At 43.9% G+C, this 26,869-nt stretch overlaps 1 protein-coding gene across 6 annotated transcripts; it reads left to right on the top strand.

The window, feature by feature from the left end:
• The first annotated feature begins 8,764 nt into the window (after nucleotides 1–8,764).
• On the top strand, nucleotides 8,765–25,013 carry PSG9 (pregnancy specific beta-1-glycoprotein 9). 6 transcript variants are annotated; one of them, NM_002784.5, is made up of 6 exons: nucleotides 8,765–8,927; nucleotides 10,146–10,511; nucleotides 16,157–16,435; nucleotides 19,160–19,438; nucleotides 19,839–20,093; nucleotides 24,649–25,013. In NM_002784.5, exons 1-6 carry the CDS (start codon nucleotides 8,864–8,866, stop codon nucleotides 24,684–24,686), a joined length of 1,281 nt encoding a protein of 426 aa, NP_002775.3. In that variant the 5' UTR covers nucleotides 8,765–8,863; the 3' UTR covers nucleotides 24,687–25,013. The 6 variants fall into 6 exon arrangements, with proteins under 6 accessions (NP_002775.3, XP_016882496.1, NP_001288636.1 ...); XM_017027007.3 differs by lacking the exon at nucleotides 24,649–25,013 and adding an exon at nucleotides 23,375–24,611; NM_001301707.2 differs by lacking the exon at nucleotides 16,157–16,435.
• The last annotated feature ends 1,856 nt before the right edge of the window (nucleotides 25,014–26,869 follow it).

The raw sequence follows: 26,869 nt of genomic DNA, 5'->3' as shown, positions 1-26,869 counted from the left end.
CTAAAAACAGGGTGATCTCCCATCTACCATCTGCAGTATGGGATTACCCATACCCTTCATCACAAGCAACCTCTGACCTCCTGGAGAACAATGACTCTAGCATTAATATGTAAACCTGAGACTCAGAACACAACCTACACGTGATTGAGAACATTTTCCTGATGACCAACCCATATGTTCATGAAAGATACAGAAATGAAGAAGGTAAGGTTTCTACCCCAAGGAACATAAAGCCTAAGATAGATGATAAGACCCAAAAAATAATTATAATACCAAAATAGAAAAACGTGAATGCCACAAGAAATCAGAGAAATCTGATGGGAAATACAGCTACACATTGGAACCACTGGAAAACGTTTTTTTAAATGGATGCCCAAGCCCCACCCATAGGATCCAATTTAATGGTCTAAAGTGAGACACAGGCATTGGTAATTTTTAAGTCTTCCCAGGTGCTACTAATGTGTAACCAGAATAGAGAACAGCTGTTCTAATAGGTAAAACTTAGACCTCAATTAATGCTTATTAGCTGGGAGTATTAGAATTATCTAGGGATATTTTTCAACATACATATGCCTATACTTTCTTGGCCCTATTCATTAATGGCCTCCACCAAGAACTCAGTAATCCTGTTGAGAAACACAAGCTACATGGAAAAGCCACTTTATTTGATATGTAAAATTATATGAAAAGCATTTTCAAATCATAAGTGGTAAAGGATGCTAAACCTTTGCTATGTTATATTTATGGATATGTTACTGATATGATTGTTCCAGAAATTGTATGAGATTCCTAGAAATTAAATATGTTATCAGCCATAATGTCATATACCACAGAAGTAATGAACCTTTTATGTGAGCTGTGTTATCATAATGAATTCTCATCAGAGTTTTAGCCATAGTCATTTAAAATCTTTGTCATTCACAGACGTTGTTTTTAGTCTTCCTCAAAGCATTTCCAATCAGCTACAGTCCAAAAATGCTTCCTTTTCAAGGAGATTTATGGAAACGATGCTGACAAGAACTCTTTAATACAAGTTTCTGATAAATTTCACATTATACCACCGGACTGTCTAAGAACTTCCAAAACTTTAAGAAACAGGCTGATATCTTCATAAAATTCTCAGTGTACCAAGCAGGAAAAATATTGATTTCATTGAAATAATTGATAATAATGAGGATAATGTTTTTATGATTTTTATTTGAAAATTTGCTGATTCTTTAAATGGTTTGTTTTCTAGATTTATGGAATTTTTTTCTTTTAATCTATCTATAGCTTATAGCAGTTCAATAAACTATACTTCTGGGAACAATTATTGAAACATTTACTTTTGCTCTCTACCTGACTGCCCCAGAATTGGGCAACTATTCATGAGAATTGATATGTTTATGGTAATACAGATATTTGCACAAGTACAGTAACAGTCTGCTCTCTTTTTAACACGACACATTTCAAATCATTGGTTTTATTACCAAGGCTTTGACTGGGATGTTATATTCAAGAATATAGATAGAATGAACCAATATGAACTGCAGGCAAAGTCTGAAGTCAACCTTGGTTTGGCTTCCTGTTCTCAAGAGGTTTGTAAAAGTTTAATCTGAGATTCCTTATAAAAACTTAGAGCAAAGAAAATTTTAAAAGAGAGCCTACATGGTCCATTGCTACTCTTGCTGCACTTATGTAAAGAATCAGACCATGTTTGAAGTAACTCAACCTATTTTGCAAACAAACTTATTCTACTGAAATTATCATTGGTAAAACTAGAGATGCCCATAGAGAGAAAAATTATGTGGAAAATAAAAACTGTAGTACACCGGTTATGAGATTGCAGCTCTGTTCATTGTTTCTGTGTTTTTATTATCCACCTGTAGACTGGACATTACCCTGAATTCTACTAGTTCCTCCAATTCCATTTTCTCCCATGGAATCACTAAGAGCAAGACCCACTCTGTTCCAGAAGCCCTATAAGCTGGAGTTGGACAACTCAATGTAAATTTCATGGGAAAACCCTTGTACCTGACGTGTGAGCCACTCAGAACTCACCAAAATGTTCGACGCCATAACAACAGCCACTCAAACTGTAAACCAGGACAAGTTGATGACTTCACACTGTGGACAGTTTTTCCCAAGATGTCAGAACAAGACTCCCCATCATGATGAGGCTCTCACCCCTCTTAACTGTCCTTGCTGATGCCTACCTTTTTCACTTGGCAGGATAATGCAGTCATTAGAATTTCACATGTAGTAGCTTCTGAGGGTAATAACAGAGTGTCAGATATGTCATCTCAACCTCAAACTTTTATGTAACATCTCAGGGGGAAATGTGGCTCTCTCCACCTTGCATACAGGGCTCCCAATAGAAATGAACACAGAGATATTGCCTGTGTGTTTGCAGAGAAGATGGTTTCTATAAAGAGTAGGAAAGCTGAAATTATAGTAGAGTCTCCTTTAAATGCACATTGTGTGGATGGCTCTCACCATTTCCTAAGAGATACATTGTAAAACGTGACAGTAATACTGATTCTAGCAGAATAAAACATGTACCACATTTGCTAATACTGTTCTCTTAAAATAATTTTAAAAGAATGGGGTGAGCCCTCCCATGTGTCCAGGCCAGGTCTCTGAACAGAATCCTCCATCTGCAGTAACAATGCCTAAGAAGATGACATGGACTTGGTCCCGATATGCAGCCATTCCTGTATACCCATCCCCTGCTGCAGGGCCGTACCATCCCAGGGCCCAAATCTTCAGCTGCAGAGCTGACAGAGAACATGGGACACCCAGCATCCCTTACCTTCTTCCAATCCACTGCAGTGGCTACCGGCATGGCCCATTTATCCCTGAGGACACCCATCTGCTGACCCACAGTTTCTAAGAGTCAGACTTTCCTGGCTTCTCTGAGCCCCAGCTACTTTCACTCTGCTGAACCCTTCTTCTCCCCACAGGTGTCATTGACTTAGCAGACACCTCTTTCAGCTGCAGCTAACAGGTAAGCCAAGACCCAGACCCCAGAGGATAAACAAGGATTTCAAAACCTACTGTGTGCAATGGAGATGCCCACTTGTGGGCGGCAGGACACCCAGTTGCCGAGGCAAGAGACTGAGTGCACGAGCCTTTCCAGTACAATAAAATATAAAAGAAGAATAGTTATACCAGATATAGATCTTAGATATGATTATATATGAATATCATTAATCATTAATTGGTAGCAATTACTCTTTATTCCAATATTATAATAATCTTTGGTCTATAATCATAACCTAGGAAAAGCCAGGCCATACAGAGATAGGAGCTGAGGAGACATAGTGAGAAGTGACCAGAAGACAAGAGTGCGAGCCTTCTGTTATGCCCAGATAGGGCCACTAGAGGTCTCCTTGGTCTAGTGGTAACGCCAGGGTCTGGGAAGATGCCGGTTTCCAGGCGAACCATGATGTAGTGGTAGCCTCAGTGTCAAGGAAAAACACCCACTACTTAGCAGACTGGGAAAGGGAGTCTCCCTTTCCCCGGGGGAGTTTAGAGAAGACTCTGCTCCTCCACCTCTTGTGGAGGGCTTGACATTAGTCAGGTCGACCCGCAGTTATTCAGATGCCTAACTGTCTCCCTGTGATGCTGTGCTTCAGTGGTCACACTCCTAGTCCGCCTTCATGTTCCATCCTGTACACGTGGCTCTGCCGTTTAGTTAGCAGTAGGAAATTAGCGAATGTACTAAAAGTCTGTAATAAGCAGAAATAATGGTGTAAGCTCTCTCTCTCTTTCTCCTCTCTCTCTCTGCCTCAGCTTCCAGGCAGGAAAGGGCCCTCTGTACAGTGGACATGTGACACATGTGGCCTTACCTATCAATTGGAGATGGCTCACACTCCTTATCCTGCCCCTTTGTCTAGTATCCAATAAATATCAGCACAGCCTGGCATTCGGGGCCACAACTGGTCTCCACATCTTGGTGGTAGAGGTCCCCCCAACCCAGTTGTCTTTTCTTTTATCTCTTTGTCTTGTGTCTTTGTTTCTACAATCTCTCATCTCTGCACATGGGGAGAAAAGCCCACCGACTCTGTGGGGCTGGTCCCTACACCCACTGTACAGAGACATAAAGAAGTTGAGATGTATACAACTCCCCCAACAACATTGTATCACAAAACAATGTCCTCTCTGCCCCTCATCGTGGAATTCACTGTCTCTCACCACATGGGCAAGTGCTTCCAGGGTCTCACAATTCTTCCACAAGAGGCAATGCACACTTTAACATAGCACTTCAGCAAATAAAGTGGTGACAGTTTACCTACTTAGATTAAGTTTCTTAAAAGATTCTCCCAAATTTCCCCCTGAAGAAGACAGAAAAGGCTTTCCCAATTGTGAAACATTGGCTTCCCCACCTTTCAAAAAAGGACCCCAGAATAGCCAAAACAATCTTGCCAAAAGAAATTGTAGGACTTGAACTTTCTTATTTGAAATCTCACAAAGGAGTACAATTATTAAAACAGAAGCTGCTGGCAAAAGAATGGACATAAAGACAAATGGGATAGAATTGAGAGTCTAGAAATAAACCCTCACACTTATGGTCAATTACTCTTTGAAGAGGGTGTCAAGACAATTTAATGGAGGAACAATTCTCCTTTCTAATGATAGTGCAGAAACAACTAGATAACCACATGCAAAACAGTGAATTTAGATAACTCTACCTCCCACCATATCAAACAATTCTCTAAAAAATTGATCAGTGAGTTAAATATAAGATCTATAACCATAAAAACATCTTAAAATAGACATAGATGTAAATATTGATGACCTCAAATGTGCAATGGATTCTTAGATATGATACAAAAGCATGAGAAATAAGAAAAAAATATACATTGGGCTTTATCAAGATGTGAGCCTTTTGTACATCAAAGGAAATTATCAAGAAAATAATTAATAGATACAGAATGAGAGAAAATATTTGCAAACCACATATAGGCAGTTTTCATGTCCAGATAATATAAAGAACTAGCTACAACTCAATAACAAAAGGACAAACCATCCAATTTATAAATGGGCAAAAGACTCAAATAGACATTTCTTCAAGGAAGATATACAAATAGTCAAGAAGGACATGAGAAGATACGCAACATCATTAGTCGTTAGGAAAATACAAAGTCAAAGCATCAATGAGACACGACAACTCACCTACAAAACTGGCTACCATTCTTTTAAAATGTTAAATAACAAGTACCAGTATTATGTAGAATTTGGAATCTTCATACATTGCTGGTGAGAATATAAAAAGGAGAAACAGTTTTGCTTTTCCTCAAAAAGCTAATCATAGAATTCTCATTTGAAACAACTTCCATTCCTAGGTATATACCCAAAGAATTAAATCCAGGGACTCAAACAGGTACTTGCATGGGAATGTTGATTGCAGCATTATTCACAAAATATAAAATATGAAAACAATCCAAGTGCTCCTCAACACATCAATAAATAAATATGGTGACACATACAACAGAATGTTAATCTGCCATAAAGAGGAATGAAGCTCTGATACCCACTGGAACATGCATGGACTTTGGAAATATTATGCTAAGTGAAATATGTCAGAAACAAATTAACGTAAGTGTATAATTCCATTTATATTAGACATCAAGAATAGGCAAATTCATAGAGACAGAGTAGAGATGATCAAAGTCTAGGGTGGAACATACAAGGAGGTATTGTTTAAAAGATACAAAGTTTCAGTTTAAAATGATAAAAATTTTCTAGGGAAAATAGTGGTGATGGTAATTTAACACTGTGTATGTGGTTAATTTCACTTGATTGTGCATTTTAAAGTGGTTGAAATAGCACATTATTCACAGAACTGTGAAAAATAGATTTCTATTATATCGTTCACCCAAGCTAAGGTGTTTGTTATGGCAGCTGAAGCCCATGAATACATCATCTGACCCAGTGTGTCAATGAAACACATCAGTATTTCAATCAAATTAGCTGGAAGCTCCTGTCCCCAGGAGAATCAAAGGCCCCAAAACAAGAGCTCCAGCAAGGGCTCAACCAGCACAGGTCCCATAGGGCAGCCTCAATGTCAGGCCCTGGATGGCATGTGAGGCAACAGCAATACAACCACAACGTGAAAATGTAAGTATTTTTACTACTTCCAGACACTAGGGAGCACTCGGCACACCTGGAGACCACAGACACAGTGGTCAGTGACCCCATGCAGGGAGGAGAGAAGAGACCTGTAAGCGAATGGCTTTATTAAGTCCAGGGTGTTATCTGACAGGTTTCCAGCAGGGAGCTTTAATGGATGTGTTCAAAGCAAGCAGCAAACACTGGGACCAGGAGCTCACGCTGTGACTGAGAGGTAGTCACTTTAAATGTGAGGGCGAATGTCAGAATTATCAGTTTAAAGAAAGCAGCTTGAGAGAGGGGAGCCCAGCACACCAAGCAGGAGAGATGCCTCTAAGATTTTATCTCTGGACACCAACTGGAGCCACTTGAACCAGACACAGTATTGAAAACTACCATGGTGACCAAGCCCTGCCTCTGATTTGAGGCAAATAAACTTACACCTTAAAAAATGAATGCCAAGGCAACATGACACTATGAGCATCATGACATCCAGGGACACCAGCAGGGTGTGGTACTGTGCCCTGGAGTCAGAATCCTGGGTTCTGGTCCCTGGGAGTGAGAAAATGAAAATGACTTGTCCTTGCCCCCCTGACGTTGATCTTCCCACCCTGCTGCTCCCTCTTCTGCTCTCAAACCCATGTGCAGTGCTCAGCCCCAGGCATCACTGCCCCCAGGGTATTCACAGTGTTGCCTACTGCACACAAACACAAACTCACAGAAGGTGACAAAAATCTGCGTTTGGGACATCTGATTGTGAAAGAGGGATAACAGTGAACGTAGAGCCACAGAGACTGGGACTCACGGGGCTGGAAGGTGAAGGAGCTGTAACATAACATATGTGTGACCTCGTGTGAAGTGGAATAAAACATGCAGCCTGGCCTGGGATTGCTGCCGTTCACACTTCCCTCCCTGTCCACCAGAGGGCGACAGAGTCCCTCCCAGCCTGGAGCCTTCCCAGGGGATGCCAACCTCCCTCAGCGGAACCCACAGCCCAGCAGGGTCCACCCTCACCAGGGTCACTTCGGCCCAAGTCCTCAGCACCCTCCATGCTCCCCACACGGACTCTGTCAGTTCCTCCCTGACCTGGCGGCCGCCAACCTAACACCACTCCCTCTGCAGGGAGCTCCTGCCCCACACACCTGCTCCTTCCCTGGGCCCAGCTAAAGGCATCTCCCAGGGCAGCGCTGGTGCACGCGACGCCACACTGGGCGCTTTCCCCTCGTGAACTCTCTCCATCCTCATCAACTCTTTCTGTCACTGCTCCCTAAATGCCTGCCCCTGCTCCATCTGTCCTGTTCTCTGGGGCTTCCCAGGCCAAGCCTAGCGCCGACACAGAACAGCGGCTGCCTGAGGGCCCACAGCCTCCCCGGGAATCAGCCAGGCACCCTGTCACCTGCCTGCCCCCTGCACCCCAGGGGGCTCAGAGAGCGTGTGATGGTCATTCACAGGTACCATCCGGGATGTGGCCACCTACCCCCAGCTGTCCCTTGGGAAGACAGACCTCTCCTGTGTACTTGCGTGGAGAAGGGCGGTGTTATTGCTCTTTGCTCCCAGAACACAACTCACCCCCACCCGCCCTCTCAGGTGTGAGCAACGTCCCTCCAGAGAGCCTCTCTGGTCACTGCCTGTTCCTCCTCTACAGACAGCAGCTTGGCCAGGTCAAAACCCTCAGGACAGACCCCTGGGTGTGTCAGCACATGGAGGGCTGAGCCCATCATGGCCACGGAGTAAGTCGGGATGAATCTCTCCAGCTCTGAACCCCTGCTCTGTCCCAGGCTCCCCCTCCTGCGTCTCAATGAGCCATGTCCCGCGGGGTTCCTGGGTAACTCCCCACTTCCTCCTGCACCACCACGGGGAAGGTGTGGTGACCACAGGACAATCAGCTGGGCAGAGAAGAGAGGACATCAAAGATGGTCAGGGAGAACATGAGAAACCCTGAGCTCCAGCTCAGCCGCCAGACCCCAGGGAGCCATAGACTGACAGAGAACTGTCCCTTTGACTATGGGACTCACAGCCCCCACTGAGCAACCAGCACAGGCCTCTCCTCCTAAGAGGCATGAGAGATTCACCCTGCACACCTCCAGGAAGGACAGTTTCCTCTGGGACACCCAGGTCCTGAAAGTCCATCCTTGGAAGCTGCAGTCAAGCTTGACACGATTAGAGAAAGGAAGGGTCCCTCTCACCAGGCAACACACAGCTCACCCACAGCACAATGGGGTGTCACTGTGACAGGGACCTGGTGCATCTCCAGCCTCCTGCACTGAAGGGGAGAGCCAGATGGGGATGAAAGAGGGTAAAAGGCATGAATGTGCACCCCAACCCAGAGCCATGGGGACAGCAGGAGGCTGAGGCCCAGGACTGTGCTTGCCCAACCTGCAGGGTATGTGCCTGACTGTGTGGGTCTGTGTGTGTCTCTTCTGTGTGTGTGTGTGTGTGTGTGTGTGTGTGTGTGTGTCTGCACAAAGTGTGTGTTGAGGTTTGGTGAAAGAATCACTGCTGAAAAAGGCAGAGGCCTCCACAACTCCCAGGGACCTGAAACACAGACAAAAGGAAAAACAGAAGGAGGGACAAGGAGGCAGGACTGAGAGAGAAGGGGACAGAGAGGTGTCCTGGGACTGACCCCGCCCATGAGCTTGAGAAGTGCTCCTGCCCCGGGAAGAGGCTCAGCACAGAAGGAGGAAGGACAGCACAGCTGACAGCCGTGCTCAGACAGCTTCTGGATCCCAGGCTCATCTCCACAGAGGAGAACACACAGGCAGCAGAGACCATGGGGCCCCTCCCAGCCCCTTCCTGCACACAGCGCATCACCTGGAAGGGGCTCCTGCTCACAGGTGAGGAGAGAACTTCCTGGGAGAGGACAGGGGGAGGAAGCGGAGTGACTGGATGGGGTCTCCTGGAGAGGATGGGGTTGTAAAATAAAAGAAGCCAGCTCTTAGGGAGGCTGAGGTGGGTGGATCACGAGATCAGGAGTTCAAGATCAGTCCGGCCAATGCAGTGAAGCCCAGTCTCTCCTAAAAATATAAAAAATTAACCAGGTATGGTGGTGTACTCCTGTAATCCTAGCTACTCGGGAGGCTGAGGTGGGAGAATCATGTGAACCCGGGAGGCAGAAGTTGCAGCTAGCCGAGATACCGCCACTGCACGCCAGCCTGGGCGACAGTACGAGACTCCGTCTCAAAAAAAAAAGAAAAAAAGGAAAGAAGGCTCTGTTGCAGCCTGGATAGGGGAAAATACACCAGAGAGGGACAGGGGTCAAAAGAGGAAAGTCACATTGAACCGGAATTGGTAAGAGGTAGGAAAATCTTAAGTGTTCTGTTTTCCTGATTAATCATCCGGGGCCACCACATTTTGAAAAATGATAATAATAACTATATCAGATGACACTTCAAATAAAAATATAAGCAGGACATGAAACACTATCCTCAGCAAAAAACCTCAACAATTGGGGGAAAAAAAAACACCCAGGGCATGGAGGGCCCTGAGAACTCTCACATCTACAGGAGTCTGCAGCCTGTCCCAGGCACTGGGGTGCAACCAGGATCACAAAAGTCCCTGTCCTCACGGAGCTCACGCTGTCATGGGGAGGAAGACAGACATGCGAAGAGATGTAGAATGTGAGATCAGGTGTTGACAAGAACCCTGGAGGGAGCAGAGCAGGGAAAGGTCAGAAAGGGAAGACCCAGGGTCTCTGAAGGAGGTGTCAGGAAAGAAGTCTAAGGATGCCCTGATGTGAGCAGGACCTGAGGGCAGTGTGGAGGGGGCCGTGTGGACCCCTGGGGAAGAGGATTCCAAACAGAAAAATGCCAAGGTCAGAAGTGTTGAAGGAATGGGGGTCATGCTGCTGACCTTGACCTAGTAGGACAGTAGGACACACACACATACACATACACAAACACACATGCCCGTTTTTTGTGTGTGTTTGTTTGTATGTGTGCGTGTGTGTATCTTCAAGGCTGAGGATGGAAGAGACCTTCTCAGGACCCAGGGCCCCATCTTTTCACCACAATACATAGGTCTCAATATTAACTGATGCTGTCTCCCCCTCCTAGCATCACTTTTAAACTTCTGGAACCCGCCCACCACTGCCGAAGTCACGATTGAAGCCCAGCCACCCAAAGTTTCTGAGGGGAAGGATGTTCTTCTACTTGTCCACAATTTGCCCCAGAATCTTCCTGGCTACTTCTGGTACAAAGGGGAAATGACGGACCTCTACCATTACATTATATCGTATATAGTTGATGGTAAAATAATTATATATGGGCCTGCATACAGTGGAAGAGAAACAGTATATTCCAACGCATCCCTGCTGATCCAGAATGTCACCCGGAAGGATGCAGGAACCTACACCTTACACATCATAAAGCGAGGTGATGAGACTAGAGAAGAAATTCGACATTTCACCTTCACCTTATACTGTGAGTGATTCCACATGATCCCTGGGTGTTGGGGGGAAGGGGTCATTTCTACTTCACACACACAGGATTGTCAGGCCTGGACTCTGCCTGTGTCACTCTCTGCATTATGTCCCATGCTGGGGTTTGGGCATTTAGTGCAGGACACACACAGAGGAGACAAATTTCAACAGATCAGAATTCCTTTCCCGCATCCAGACCCTGCAGACACTCGCTGCAGAGGAAGGACAGTCTGATGGGGGGACTCAGCAGGAGGAGATCAGTCTCAGCCAAGCACATCATGCCCTCTTCATAAATTTGACCCTGAGAAAGACCCTGGAGAACTGAGTAGGGCTTGGCTTGAGGGGACCCCTGAGATACTCTCAGAGAAGCTCAGCCCTAGAAGCCTCAACCCCAGACCCCTGTCCCTAAATCCTTGCTCCAGTTAAGCTGAGGAGCCTGTGCCAGTGCTGGGTTGTGGCTTCTTGGGCAGGCCTTACTGGGACCAAGAATTTACCAGCTGTCTGAGGACTGTGTCTCCTGGAGCTGTTCACCAGCCAGGGCTCAGCCCTCAGAGTCTCATCTGGGCAAGGACAGAGCTTTTTCAGCTGACACTCAGAGTGGAGAGGACAGAAAGACAAGCTTTGTAGGACATCAGCCAACTGCCTTGGGAGGCTTAGGACAGTCCATAGAAAGTCTAATGTCCCCAGAAGCAGAAACAGAAGGGAGAAGATGTACCTGGTAGCAGCTTGTCCACAGGGATCTGACATAAGGTGCTTTCTCATGGAAGCAAATTAATAATAAATGCTGCTTGTGTGAAACCTCCACTGTGCCAAGCATTAGGTCAGGTGACTGTGAATCATTTAACATTTATTCACAGATAGCATGAAAAGCCACAGTCCATTTGCCATTTAGTTTATTTGATTGAGAGAAAACTGAGGCACAGGAAGGTGCAGTCACTGAACCAGAGTCACACAAACACAAAGGGGAGATCAGGGTCACATGAGGTCTGTCTGCAGCCACAGGCCTATCCTCTCCTCCACCAGAAGTGAGGGCTTACTGGGTTCCAAGGACCCCATAGTCATTTATTGGCTCAAATCCTCTCTTCTTAGGCATCCAAACCTCAGAGGAGTGAGAGCAAATGGTCAGCTGATTAGTCTGTATTCCAGAACTAAATCACCTGCCTCAACCATCAGAGTCAGTGCAAAAAATATGTCCAGGCCTCCCCCTCAGATCTTAACCCCCATCACTGAACGTGAAATCCTGTGTTTCCCAAAGTGTCCATGTCACTGTCATGAGAGGATCAAGGAGAGGACCTTGTTTTCTTTCCCCACTCACACCCTACACCAGCACAGGCCCAGCGAGAGACACACACTCAGGAGCTCTCACATAATGAATGAAGAACTTGAATGAAGAAATGAATGATCCAAAACCTCTTTAGAGACTGAATTTGCATGCAGAATCCTAGGAGGTTCTAGCCACACCTGTCCCTTGTCCTTCAGAGGCTGACACCCACGTTTCATCCCCCCACTACCTCTTGCCCCTAAAGCCACCCCACCTCATGTAACTCTGAAGCTCTTTGGCCACCGGAGGGTTCTCAGGGCTCCTTGGTCCTGGACTGTGGAACTGGGGGCACCTGGGCCCTGGGGTCTCTGAAGTCAGTGTCTCCCTCACTGCTCACTGCCATGGTGTCTCTGCCTCTCTCTGCTTCTCTGTGTCCCTCATCTTCCTCCCACTTCATTCTGACTGGCAAGCCCTGTCCTGCACAGCTTCTTCCCCCACCCCTAGGCCTTCCCCAGACATTCCCTCTAACTAGGCTGGCTGTTCGGTTCCCTTCCTACTAACACTGTGGCCTGGCCCACCTCCCAGGAAATAGGAAAGGCACAGAAATCACCTGGAGTTGCCACTCCTGCCTGGCTTCATCTCCAGCCAATGTCCCCAGGTCACTAAGAGAAATATTCCACTGTATTCCCATCCATGGCTCTTTCCCTTTGTCAGTCTGACCTGTGGACAAGAACATGGGACAGGGATAGGCAGTTCCTCCATCCACTCATAATTGCCAGACAAGTTCTTCTGGCCTCCTGCACACACACACAAAAAAAATTATTGAAATGGTGGTCTGTAGTCGGAGAAAGATTTTAATGACTCCAAGTCTGCCAAACAGGAGGACGGATGTTTATTATTACTCAAATCAGCCTCCCCAGTGGATCAGGGGTTAGAGATTTTCAAGGATCGTTTCAGGGGCACAGGACTAAAAAATGAGTACTGCTGATTGTTTGGTGATGGAATCATGCGGCCGGAGGGAAATGATTTGTTTGTGCTTGAATCTGCCTCCAGGTAGGGGCCACATGACTGACTGAGCCATTAGTCATAGGTATGGATGAGGTCAGCCGGTTGCCAGAATGCAAAAGAATGAGAAACATCTCAAAAGACCAATCTCACGTTCTACAATAGTGATGTTATCTATAGGAGCAATTAGTTACAAATTTTGTAAACTCTTGCCAAATGACATCGGAGCAGTCAGGGATTATAGAAACTGTGACAACATTTTAGCAGAATTCAGTTCCCTCCTATAATCTTAATCTCATGGTCTTTCACTAGTTTGACAAAAGCAGTCCCTGGGCAAAGTAAGGGTGTTAGTTTTATGGAGGAACTATTATCATTCTTGCTTCAAAGTTAAACCATAAAATAAATTCCTCCCAAGGTTAGCCTGACCTATGTCCAGGAATGAGTGAGGACAGCCAGCCTGAGACTAGATGCCAGATGGAGTCAGCCATGCTAGTTTCCTGTCACTGTGTAATCTCTGCCCTGACTAACCAGGGTGTCAGAGGCTGGAGAGGCCTGCAGTCCCCAAAGCACATGGACTCATTTCACCCATTTCATTTGTGACTCCATCCTCAACCTGCTATGGAGCTCACATTCTCTGGTCACTTCCTAGAGACTTCTGGCTTCCTGTCAGGCATATAACAAGCTTGGAATTTGTCACTCAGTTCTAACACTAAGTAAAAAGCTGAACAATCTCAAAAGTCAACAACTCATTAAAATCCCTCAGAGATGGCTGGGCTCAGTGGCTCAAGCCTATAATCCCAGCACTTTGGGAGGCCGAGGCGGGCACAAGGTCAGGAGATGGAGACAATCCTGGCTAACAGGGTGAAACCCTGTCTCTATTAAAAATACAAAAAATTAGCCGGGCGTGGTGGTGGGCGCCTGTAGTCCCACCTACTTGGGAGGCCTAGGCAGGAGAATGGTGTGAACCCAGAAGGCGGAGCTTGCAGTGAGCTGAGATCATGCCACTGCACTCCAGTCAGGGTGACAGAGCGAGACTCTGTCTCAGAAAAAAAAAATGCTGTCAGAGAAATGAAGAATGCTTTTGATGCTTACTGGTAGACTGCACACAGCTGAGGAAAGAATCCCTAGCTTGAGGATGTGTCAATAGAAACTTCCAAAACTGAAAAAGGAAAGTTCAAAAAAAGTGGGGAAGAAAAAGTGGAACAACATATTCAACTTCATATTTAATATTTTGTTTTGACAATAGCAATTTTTAAATTTTGTAGTTGTGGGACAACTACAAAGGCTGTAACATACACATAATGGGAATACTGGTGGTTTTTGGGGACCAGTTGGAGGTGGCCAGGTGGGTGATATCTAATGGTTTTACTGCCTGTGTCTCATACAACTATTTCCTCATGATGATGCCATTTTCATAAGTTGGAGTTCTGCATGTGGGGAGACACACGAGCCATTGGCATCTCACTTAGAATCTTCCTGATTCACACAGACTTAAATTTTAGTGGTGTTTCCTGAGCTTAAGAGAAAATGAAGAAAGCATTTCACCTACCTGTTTTGCAGTCCTCCCCATTTTTCCTAATTCTGCACAGAAATTAGAAGCAGGGAGTTCTTTCTATATTTACTAACATAACACACATCACTTCTTTTAATTTGGCATCCTTCCTCCCTTTATGTAATTGATGCACTGACCAGTTCGGTCCTTTTAACGGGACTCTCTCTACTTAAGGAGCTGCTAATTTCCAATCACCTTTGGCATCTTTCTTTGAGCATAATGTGATCCTGCTGGAATTCACGGCACACCTAAACCTTATTTTGGTCTCAAGAGAAATACTACTACCAGCAATTGATCTTAGATGTTTGGACCATCAGTAAAAGTTTCCACTTATGAAAACATTTTAATGTTTCCTCCAAATTTTTTTTTTTTTTTGTTACTAGAGTCAGAACACAACATGAGGTCTAAACTCCTGACAACTTTTTATGGGAAAATTACAGTATAACAAATTGAGCATCCCAAATCCAGAAATCCACAATCTGAAATGCTCAAAAGTCAACACTTCTGACCACTGATGTGATGCTAAAAAGAAGTGCTCACTGGCGCATTGTGGATTTTAAATTTTTCAGATTTGGGATGCTAAACCAGTACATGTACTGCAAATATTCCAAAATAAAAAAAATTAGAAATCCAAAACACTTTGTTTTAAGCTTTCTGAATAAGGAGCACTTTATCTGTATGAACTATAGGCATGAAGCTGTACAGGAGATCTCTAGAACCTCCTCATCCTGCATAACTGGAACTGCACACCCACGGAACAACACCCTATTCCCCTGATCCCAGCTCCTGCAAACTACTATTCTACTTTCTGATTCACTCTGGAATCCACTGATAGGAGGTACATAGAGTAGTCAAACTCAGATCAGACAGTAGAATGTCCAATGAGAGAAAGTATCTGCAAGACTTCTTCCCAAATATTGGTCTAATATCCACCAAACGCATATGGTCCTTGAGGGCCAGACTTCCATCATCTGTTCATGTTCACCCTTTCCACCAGTCAGTTCTGCATTTGCAAACATCCACATGTATTTCTAGAAAGATCCACATGGTCCTCACCTGCCCTCTACAGGGGGAAGGGAGCATCATGGACCCAGAACAGGGAACATGGTCTTGGTCGAAAGCTATCAGCTACTGCCTGGCCCCTTCACTCTTTGTAGGTCATTCCTTGGACTCTGCTCTATCGTTAGAGGTCACTGGCTCAAGTCAGTCACTATGAGACACCTGGGAAAACTGCAAACTGCCCCACCTTGTGGCTCCACTGCCTGATGTCTTAACTGACCTCCCGGCTTGACTCTGGTCTCCCCTGTGTTATTTCTGCTGAAGTACCCAGTCCCAGACCAGGCTTTCCAATACCCAAAGGGTTTAAGGACAATGGGAAGTTCCATCACCCATCTCTAGGATGTCCTTGGCAAGGGAAGCTGCAGAGAAAACATACCTCAGGGGGCAAAGTAAGACTGAAACTAAGAGGATTCCAGCACTGCATGCTCCAAGTGAGGACCACAAGTTGGGCCAGTCAGGCAGTTGGAGACGGAGGGACTCAAAGAGGCATCAGGGGCTGTGACTGCTGGTCCTGTGTCTTTCCATGACCCAATGCTGCTGCTCAATTCACACTTAAGAAAGTCTGTGCTTCTCCCACATAAAGCAGGCAGCCTCACAATCTCTGAGCTCTCAGATTGCCATGCATCTGTCTTGTAACACACACACCTGCCATGGGCTTTTAAGGACTGGGTTGGGCTGAGAGGTGGGAAATGCCAACTCTGACTGAAAAATGCCTTTGGAGGAATCAAAGGTGCCACACAGGGCAATCTTCTCTCTGTTTTCTGCACAGTGGAGACTCCCAAGCCCTACATCTCCAGCAGCAACTTAAACCCCAGGGAGGCCATGGAGGCTGTGCGCTTAATCTGTGATCCTGAGACTCTGGACGCAAGCTACCTATGGTGGATGAATGGTCAGAGCCTCCCTGTGACTCACAGGTTGCAGCTGTCCAAAACCAACAGGACCCTCTATCTATTTGGTGTCACAAAGTATATTGCAGGACCCTATGAATGTGAAATACGGAACCCAGTGAGTGCCAGTCGCAGTGACCCAGTCACCCTGAATCTCCTCCGTGAGTATCTTCTGTTCCTCTGTGAGCCAGGCTGCCATCCCAAATACACATGGCCAGAGGCCAGGCCTCTCAGTCCCTCTCAGGTCCAAGTACAGAGACCTTTACCCCTAGACATCAAAGCTGGCCATGACTTTCTGCCCCAAGCAAACCAGAGTAGGCCTAGGCTTGATCAACAATGGGAGAAAAGAGGCTGCTGTGTCATGGGAGACTCTGGGTCCACAGCTTGTGATGGGAGAAACAGGTGAATGTCTCAGGCTCCAGATCAGTGAACACAGCAGGGATTTGGCTGGGACTTCAGTGTTGCGACTTGGCTCACAGGGTCACTGTGGCCCTTCCACAGACCAGGATTTTCCCTTCCCTCTGACAATATCGCTTGTGACATTATTCTCTTTGCTCCACATGGCCTGGATGCACCCACCATTTCTTCCTCATACATCTATTACCATACAGGGGAATTCCCCAATCTCTCCTGCCTCACAGACTCTCACCCACTGGCAGAGCATTCTTGGCTGATTGATGGGAAGTTCCAGCACTCAGCACAAGTGTTCTTTATCCCCCAAATCACTAAAACATATAGAGGGTCTATGTCTGTTTCATCCATAACTCAGCCACTGGTGGAACAAATCTCATAATCAAGAGGATCATAGTCCCTGGTAAGTGGGTCCCTGGAGCACTGGCACTATGTTTTCCAGTGAAGTCTATCTAGCTGTCAGGGAACAGCCACCTGCCCTCTGCAAAGGGAGAGGGAAAATAAAAAACCCTGGATAGGGAATATGTTTCTGCTCCAAAACCACCAGCTTTTGCCTGTCCCTTCACTCTTTCTAGATCATTCTTTAGACTATACACTAACAATGAACAATCTGAAAGGAAGTTAAGGAAAGGATTTCAATTCACATTAACATCAAAAGGAATAAAATATTTTGGAATAAGTTTAACCAAAAAGGTCAAATGATTATACCCTGAAAACTACAAAACATTGCTGAAAGAAATTAAAGATGATATCAATATATGGAAAGACATTTCATTTTCATGGATTGGAAGAATCAATATTGTTAGAAAGACAATACTACCCAATTGAGTTGCAGATTCAATGCAACCCCTACCAGAATCCCAGTAACATTTTTTGCAGAATTAGAAAACTCTGTCCTAAATCTGACCTGACAGGATCTTATTAATGACTGCCACAACACAAACACTGAGAAAAAGATGCAACCAGAAAAGGTGGAAAGTTCTGATGACAAAGAAAATAGCAATCAGCCTTTCTCACATCCCAAAGCTTTAAAAAATATATGAGTGCAGCATGGCCAGTATGGAATTGACCAAAAACTAATCATCAAGCTAGAAAAGTGGTGAGAGAAAAAAAAAGGGCAAGAATATCTTTGGCTTATCACCTCCCACTTTTGCCTACTAATCTGATGCTGAAAAGAAATGCTCACTGAAGCATTTTAGATTTTGAATCTTTCAGATTTGGGATGCTAAACCAGTAAGTATATGACAAATATTTCAGAATAAAAAAATGTCAGAAATCCAAAACACTTTTTGTCCTAAGACTTATGCATAAGAAATACTCAATCTGTGTGAACTATAGGCATCAAGCTCTACAGCAGATCTCTAGAACCTCCCCACCTTGCATAACTGAAACTGCACACCCATGAACAATTTCTGATTCTCCCCACTCCCAGCTCCTGGCAACCAGCAGTCTCTTCTCATATTCACTCTGGAATCCACTTACATGAGGTCCCTAGAGTAGTCGAACCCAGGGGATCAGAGAGTAGAATGTCCAATGAAAGAAAATATTTGCAAAACTTCTCTCCAAGTTTGTCTCATATCCATCAAACACACATGGTCCATGAGGACCAGATTTCCAGCAGTTCATTCCCACACTTTCCACCAGTCAGTTCTGCATTTGCAAATGTCCACATGTATTTCTGGAAAGATCCACATGGTCCTCCTCTGCCCTCTGCAGAAGGAGAGGAAACTTAAAGAACCCAGGACAGAGAACATGGTTCTGCTCCAAAGCCACCAGCTCTTGCCTGTCGCCTTCACTCTTTCTAGATCATTCCTTGCACTCTGCTCTATGTTTAGAGGTCACTGGTTCAAGTAAGTCATCATGAAACACCTGCAAAAAACTGCCCCACCTTGAGCCTCCACTGCCTGATGACTGAACTGACCTCCAGGCTTGACTCTGGTCTCCTCTGTGTTATTTCTGCTGAAACATCCAGTCCCAGGCCAGGCTGCTAAGTATCTTCAGGGTCTCAGGACAATGGGAAGTCCCATTATTACTCATCTCTAGAACATCCTTAGAAATGGAAGCTGCAGAGAAATCACATATAGGGGGGCAAAGTAGGATGGAATTTGGAAGGGGCCCAGCAGTTGCACATTCCAGGTAAGGAACCCAAGGTGAGCCAGCCAGTCAACTGATTAGGGAGGGACTGGGAGGGGTACCAGGGGCTGTGACTCCCACTGATGTGTCTGTCCATGACCCAACACTGCTGCTCAATTGACACTTGAGAAAGTCTGTGCTTCCCTAAGACAGAGCAGGCGGCCTCACAGTCTTTGAGCCCTTAGATCATCATGCATCTGTCTTGTGACACACGCACCAGCTATTGGCTTTCAAGGACTCGGGTGGGCTGAGAGGTGGGAGATGCCAACTCTGATTGAAGTATGCCTGTGGAGGAATCAAAGGTGCCACACAGGACAATCTTCTCTCTGTTATCCACACAGCGAAGCTGCCCATCCCCTACATCACCATCAACAACTTAAACCCCAGGGAGAATAAGGATGTCTTAGCCTTCACCTGTGAACCTAAGAGTGAGAACTACACCTACATTTGGTGGCTAAACGGTCAGAGCCTCCCCGTCAGTCCCGGGGTAAAGCGACCCATTGAAAACAGGATACTCATTCTACCCAGTGTCACGAGAAATGAAACAGGACCCTATCAATGTGAAATACGGGACCGATATGGTGGCCTCCGCAGTAACCCAGTCATCCTAAATGTCCTCTGTGAGTATCTTTTGTTCCTCTGTGGGCCAGGACACCAGCTTAAGTCCAAACGACCAGATGCCAGGCCTCTCAGTCTCTCTCCGGTCCAAGTATAGACACCTTTACTTCTAGACATCCGAGGTGGCCATGACTCCCTGCCCTGGGAAAACCTGGGTAGGCACAGCCTTAACCAAGAATATAAGGGGAGTGGATGCTCTTGTCATGGGAGACTTGGGGCCCACAGCTTGTGATGGGAGAAACAGGTGAATACCTCAGGCTTCAGCTCAGTGAACATAGAGGGACTTTGGCTGGGACTTGAGGGTGTGTCTTGGCTCAGAGGGTCACTGTGTCCCTTTAAGAGACCAGGAACATCCCCTTCCCTCGAATGACATCACGTGTGGCTTTATTCTCTTTCCTCCAGATGGTCCAGACCTCCCCAGAATTTACCCTTCATTCACCTATTACCGTTCAGGAGAAAACCTCGACTTGTCCTGCTTCACGGAATCTAACCCACCGGCAGAGTATTTTTGGACAATTAATGGGAAGTTTCAGCAATCAGGACAAAAGCTCTTTATCCCCCAAATTACTAGAAATCATAGCGGGCTCTATGCTTGCTCTGTTCATAACTCAGCCACTGGCAAGGAAATCTCCAAATCCATGACAGTCAAAGTCTCTGGTAAGTGGATCCCAGCATCCTTGGCAGTAGGGTTTTATGTGGAGTCTATCTGGCTTTCAGAGAAGAGTCAGGAAAACATTTTTATTCCCAGCCTGTGTCCCATGGGCACAAGCAAATCCCAAATTCTCCTCCTGAACCCTCCCAATTTGTCTCTACAGACTCTCTTCTCCTTGTTTTTCTGTTTTCTTATGGCTGACCTTGTGTCTGGCCTGAAAAAGGTAGGGAGGGGGCTTTATCAGCCCTGAGCCCTATGTGGTAGAAGAGGCTTCAGAGAGGGACAAGAAGGAGAGTCCTCAAGATCAAGTTGCTTCTCGCTGTCACCGACACATCCCCTTCTGCCACGTCTTTTTTTTCTTGTACCTATTCCATGAGCTACAAGGGACAGCTGAGGCTTTGAAACAAGCTCACACTTTTCCCCCAGATGAGAGGAGGAAGCCCCTTGGGTGAGGGAGGAGCAGCTCAGACTCTGCTTCCTGCTCTGCTCCGGGCTCCTCTGGTGACTGGCCCTGCCTCACTCAACCTGGGGTGGGACTAGCGTGTGTGTAGAAAGGGCCCTGGTGGCCTGTCCTGAATTTGGCTAAATTGAGCTGCCAGTTGAAGCCAAGCCTCCCCCGGGCCAGGCTGCAGGGAAATAAGAAGAGAGGGAGCCTCAGGGCAGACTCCTGAGCTGCGTCCTGGCTCTGAAGTCACCAGCTGTATGAGGCTTTGGGCACAGCACGTGGGACACAGCACGGAGGACAGTGACTGATGCAGAGCTGGAGGAATAGGGAGATTCACCGTTGGGGTTATTCATGGCAGGAAAGGGGCAGTGCCAAAAAGTGTGTAATTATAGAGAGGGTAAGACTACCAGACACTTTATATATATCTAATATAAGACTTACCATTAACTATTTCTATGTGTGCAATTTAGTGTTGTGTAACCATCACACTATCCATTTCCAGAACTTTTTCCTCTTACCATATTAAACCTCTGTACCCAATAAACAGTAACTCTCACTCCTTCTTCCCCTAACCCTTAGCACCCATCATTCTACTTTGTCTCTATGTAACTGGCTATTCTAACTATCTTTTATAAATGGAATTACATAATAATTATCCTTTTGTGTCTGGTTTATTTCAGTTAGCATAATATCTTCAAGGTTCATCCATTTTGCATGATGTATTGGAATTTTATTCCTTGTTAAGGTTGAATAACATTTCAATGTATAGATACACCTCATTTGCCTACCCACTTATCTTTCAATGGACTTTTCAGTTGTTTCCATTTTTTCGCTAGTGTGAGTAATGCTTCTCTGAACATCAGTGTACAAATATTTGTTCAAATTTCTTTCAATTCTATGGGGAGTATGTCCAGAAGTGGAATTGCTGGATCAAATGGTAATTTATTGTTTAATTTTTTGAGAAACAGCCACACCACTTTTTACAGTGGCTATAACATTTCCCATTCCCATCAGCAATGCACTAGAGCTCCAATTTTTCCATCTACTTGCAAACACCTGTTGTTTTGTGTTGTTGTCATTGTTGTTGTTTATCAAAGCCATCCTAAATTGTGTGAGGTGGTGTAGCATTGTGGGTTTGATTTGCATATCTCCAGGTATTCGTGATGCTGAGGAACTTTGCATGGGCTTATTGGATATTTGTATATCTCCCTTGGATAAAACTCTATTTTAATCCTTTGTTCATTTTTTAATTGGGTTTTTGGATGTTTGTTGTTGTTGACTTGTAGCTTTTCATGTATTCTGGAAATGAATTTCTTATCACACATATAATTTGCAAATATTTTTATCATTTCGTGGGTTGCCTTTTTACTTTCTTGATAATGTTCTTCGACATATAAAAGCTTTGATTTTTGTGAAGTCCGATTTATCCATTTTATTTGTTGCCTATGCTTTTGTTGTTACAACCAAGAAATCATTGGGAAATCCAGTATCATGAAGCTTTTCTTCTAAGAGTTGTGTAGTTTTTCTCTTACATTTAGATCTTTGATCTATTGTGGGTTAATTTTTGTACATGGTGTTAGGTAAAGGTTCCAATCTTCTTGCCCTTGGATATCCAGCTTTCCCAATATCCTTTGGTGAGAACACTGTCCCTTCCCCATTGTAAATGCTGAAATCAGGAAGTGTGAGTCCTCCAGCTTCATTCTTCCTCTTCAAAGCTGTGTGTCTATTTAGAGTCATGAGATACAATATAAATTTTAGGACAGATTTTTCTTTTTCTGCAAAAATGCCACTGAGAATCTGATAGGAATTGTATTGAATCTGCAGTCACTTTGGGTAGCACTGTTCTCCTAACAATATTGAGTCTTCCAATTCATGAAAACAAAATGTCTTTCAATTTATTGATGTCATCTTTCATTTCTTTCAGCAATATTTTGTAGATTTCAGGTATAATCATTTCACCTCTTTGATTAAACTTATTCCTAAATATTTTATTCTTTTTGATGTTAATATAAATTGAAATTTTTTTCTTAATTTCCCTTCAGATTGTTCATGGTTAGTGTATTGAAATACAACAGATGTTTGAATGTTGATTTTGTATTGTGCAACATTACTGAATTTATTTATTAATTCTAATTAGGTTTGTTCAATCTTTAGGATTTTCTACATATAAGTTCAAGTTATCTATAAACAGAAATAATTTTACTCCTTCCTTCCAATTTGAATGTCTTTTTTTCAATTCTTGCCTAATTTTTCTGACTAGACCTTTCAATACTACGTTGAATAAAAGTGTCAAAAGCAGGCATCCTTGTCTTGTTACTGCTCATACAGGGAAAGCTTTCAGTCTTTCTCCATTGAGTATGATGCTAGCATTGGGTTTTTCACATATTGCCTTTATGTTGAGGTGGTTTCCTTCCATTCTTAGGATGTTTTCATTATGAAAAAATATTGAATTCATCAAATGCTTTTATTGATTCAATCTTATTACTGATTATAGTTATACTCATATTTTTGTGTGGTTCTAGGAGTTGGTCCATTTCATCTAGGTTATCCAATTTATTGGCATACAATTATTTATAGTACTTTCATCATCATTATTTTATTAGAATTGGTAGTAATCGCTTCATTTTTCTTTCTTTCTTTCTTTTTTTTTTTTTTTGGAAGAGAGAGAGACAGGCTCTCACTCTGTAGGCCAGCCCAGGATGGAATACAGTGGTGTGATTACGGCTCACTGCAGCCTTAACCTCCTGGGCTCAAGCAATTCTCCTTCTTCAGCCTCCCAAGATGCTAGGACTACAGGTGCATGTCACCATGCCCAGCTAATTTTTTTTTATTTTTTTGTAGAGACAGCATCTCCCCAGGTTACCTATGCTGGTCCAAACACCTGGTCTCAAGAAATCCTTCTGCTGTGACCTCCCAAAGTGCTAGGATTAAAACATGACCCACCATGCTCAGAGTCCATTTTCATTTCTGATTTGAGTAATTTTAAACTTTTCTCTTTTTTTCTTAGTCAATCTAGTTAATGGTTGTCAATTTTGTTGATTTTATTTTGAAGAATCAACTTTTGGTTTCATTAATTTCCTCTATTCTGTTTCCATTCTCCATTTTATGTATATCCACTCTAATCTTTATTATTTCCCTCATTCACTGTGCTTGGGTTTAGTTTGTTCTTCTTTCATATCCTGAAGTATTAAAGTAGGTTGTTGACCTGAGATCTTTCTTCTTTTTTAATGTAAGAGTTTACAGTTATAAATTTCTTGCACAAGACTCAACTTCTCTGAACCTCTGATTCCTTACCTGAAAATTGCAATGAGAGTACTTTCTTCTTACCATTGTTTTAAAGGTTTAATGCAGTCAATGAAACAATATGCCACACACAGCGGAACCAATGTCAGCTGCTATATTACTACCATCATCATTAGCCTTGAGGTCAAATAGTCCTAGAATCAAATCTCAGATCCACCTGTCACTAGCCATATGACACCAGGAAAGTTTTTACACCATGCTAAGCTTCTGTCTTTTCATCGGCAAAATGGAAATAATGTCTATGTGACAGGGTTATTGTGTGGCTTAAATGAGATACAGGTAAAGTATTGAGCACAGGGCCTGGCACATAGGAAGTGCACCTCAACAGTACCTACCTTTTTCCATATATATGGAAAAAGAGGTAACACATAAAACACTAGGACATGGTTACTGACTACTTGTGGGAGAGAAAAAAAAAGCTAAGGGCAAAGAATCAAGTCTGGTATGTTAGTTTTTACCAACTGAGATGCATCCAAGATGGGATTAGACATACAAGGTAATTTATCAGGGAAGACACCTGTGAGGGAATGTGGAGCAGGCATGAAGGTAGTATGGGAGAACCCACAGAACACTATGCAGAGCTGATTCCTGTGAAAAAGAAAGAGAAAGAAGTTTTAGGTACCAATGCAGTTCTAAGAGTATTTGCAAGGCTGATGGGGAATCCTCCAACCAGCCACCCATTAGAGTTAAATAGAGCCTCAGAGAACTAGGCTTGCTTTCACACCCTTCCTGGGAGCCTGTAGGAAAGAAGCTTTCTGTGTAAAGGAGGTAGTGAATTTGAAATGCACTGACCTGGGCCTTCTGTCAATCAGGTCCCTGCCATGGAGACCTGACAGAGTCTCAGTCATGACTGCAACAACTGAGACACTGAGAAAAAGAACAGGCTGATACCTTCATGAAATTCAAGACAAAGAAGAAAAAAACTCAATGTTATTGGACTAAATAATCAAAAGGATAATGTTTTCATAATTTTTTATTGGAAAATGTGCTGATTCTTTGAATGTTTTATTCTCCAGATTTATGAACTTTTTTTCTTCAGCAATTGGTAAAGTATACTTTTGTAAACAAAAATTGAAATATTTGCTTTTGCTGTCTATCTGAATGCCCCAGAATTGTGAAACTATTCATGAGTATTCATAGGTTTATGGTAATAAAGTTATTTGCACATGTTCCGTAAGAATCTGCTCTCTTTATAACAGGACACATTTGAAAACATTGGTTATATTACCAAGGCTTTGACTGGGATGTTATATTTGAGAATATACATAGAATAAACCCATAGGGAATGCAGGCAAAGTCTGAAGTGGGCCTTGGTTTGGCTTCCTAGTCTCAAGAGGTTTTTGGAAGTTTCATCTGAGATTCTTATTAAAAACTTCTAGCAAAGAGAAGTTTAAAAAGAGCCTCTATGGTCCATTGCTACTCTTGCCGCACTTAGGTAAAAAATCTGGGCAAGTTCGGTGAGACTCAACCTATTTTGCAAGCAAATTCATCTTATTGGAATTATCTTTGGTAAAAATAGAGACTCCGATAGAGAGAAAAACTAGCTGAAAAGAAAAACTGTAGTACACCTGTTACCAGATTGAACCACTGTTCATTATCTTTGAGTATTTATAATCCACTGGTAGACTGGACTGGACCCTGAATTCTTTTAGTTCTTCCAATTCAGTTTTCTCCAATGAAATCATTAAGAACAAGAGCGGCTCTGTTCCTGAAGCCATATAAGGTGGAGGTGGACAACTCAATGTAAATTTCATGGGAAAACCCTCGTGTTTGAGGTGGGGGCCACTAAGAGCTCACCAAATGTTCAACACCATAACTTAGAGACACTCAAACTGCAAACCACGACAAGCTGATGACTTTACACTGTGGACAGCTTTTCTCAAGATGTCAGAACAAGACTATCAGTCATGATGAGACTCTTACCTCTCTTAATTTGTCTTTGCTTTTGCCTGTCTCCTTTGCTTCCCAGAATAATGCTGTACTTAGGATTTCACCAGAAATAGCCTCTGAGAGTAAGTTAACAGTGTCAGATATATCATGTCAACCACACTTCGTTTTTTTTTTTTTAAGATGGAGTTTCGCTCTTGTTGCCCATGCTGGAGTGCAATGGCACAATCTTGGCTCACAGCAACCTCCACCTCCTGGGTTCAAGTGATTCTCCTGCTTCAGCCTCCCCAGTAGCTGGGATTACAGGCATGCACCACCATGCCCAGCTAATTTTGTATTTTCAGTAGAGACAGGATTTCTCCATGTTGGTCAGGCTGTTCTCGAACTCCTGACCTCAGATGATCTGCATGCCTCAGCCTCCCAAAGTGCTGGGATTACAGGCATGAGCCACCGCACCCAGCCCACACATTTTTACATAACAAGACATCCTTTAGTCCACACAAAGGCTGACGTTAGCTGCATCTGTAACACAACTTTTTCCTCAAATGTATGGAGTTTTTTTTAGGCTTCCACTTCTATACTTGCCTATTCTCACTCCCTGTTTTAATTTAACATAGACATGCAATGCTAGATAATAGAATTGTTCTCTACCAGCTGGACAGCGGGGAGTCTGTGCAGTTTCTGACACTTCTTGTTGCACATGGATAAATACATCGGGTATTATAGAGACTCAGTTGTAAAAATCAATAAATGTGCTGCCTGGTTAAAATGACTAGACTCTTCTGGCTTCTTCTTTGATCTATCCTATTGTAGTTGGTTTGCATCTTGCCTAAGGTGCATATTCCAAACTCTTGATATTTTCCTCCTGATAGTCATACTGGTATTCTCCCTCATGTGGTGGAATCTACAGATGTTTTTATTTCTGTGCAAATATTTGTGTGCAGCCATTCTTCAAATATCAAACGGTTTCTCTTGTGCTGGAATTACAAAAACTCAAAGAAATGTGTGATTTATGGGCTGGGTGCAGTGGCTCACATCTGTAATCCCAGCACTTTGGGAGGCCAAGGCAGGCAGATCACAAGGTCAGGAGTTCAAGATCAGCCTGATCAATATGGTGAAACCCTGTCTCTACTAAAAATACAAAAA

This window comes from Homo sapiens, chromosome 19 (genome assembly GCF_000001405.40).
Source record: "Homo sapiens chromosome 19, GRCh38.p14 Primary Assembly".
In the NCBI taxonomy this organism is placed as follows: Eukaryota; Metazoa; Chordata; class Mammalia; order Primates; family Hominidae; genus Homo; species Homo sapiens.
Note: the sequence above shows the minus strand (reverse complement) of the source record. Positions and strands in the feature narration are given on the sequence as shown.

Bases quoted from the DNA above. Each gene is read 5' to 3' on its own strand.
- PSG9 (XM_017027007.3), top strand. From the start codon at position 8,864: ATGGGGCCCCTCCCAGCCCCTTCCTGCACACAGCGCATCACCTGGAAG. The intron at 10,512-16,156 runs GTGAGTGATTCC...TTTTCTGCACAG, and splicing joins TTTCACCTTCACCTTATACT to TGGAGACTCCCAAGCCCTAC. The intron at 20,094-23,374 runs GTAAGTGGATCC...ATTTTTTTGTAG, and splicing joins CATGACAGTCAAAGTCTCTG to AGACAGCATCTCCCCAGGTT.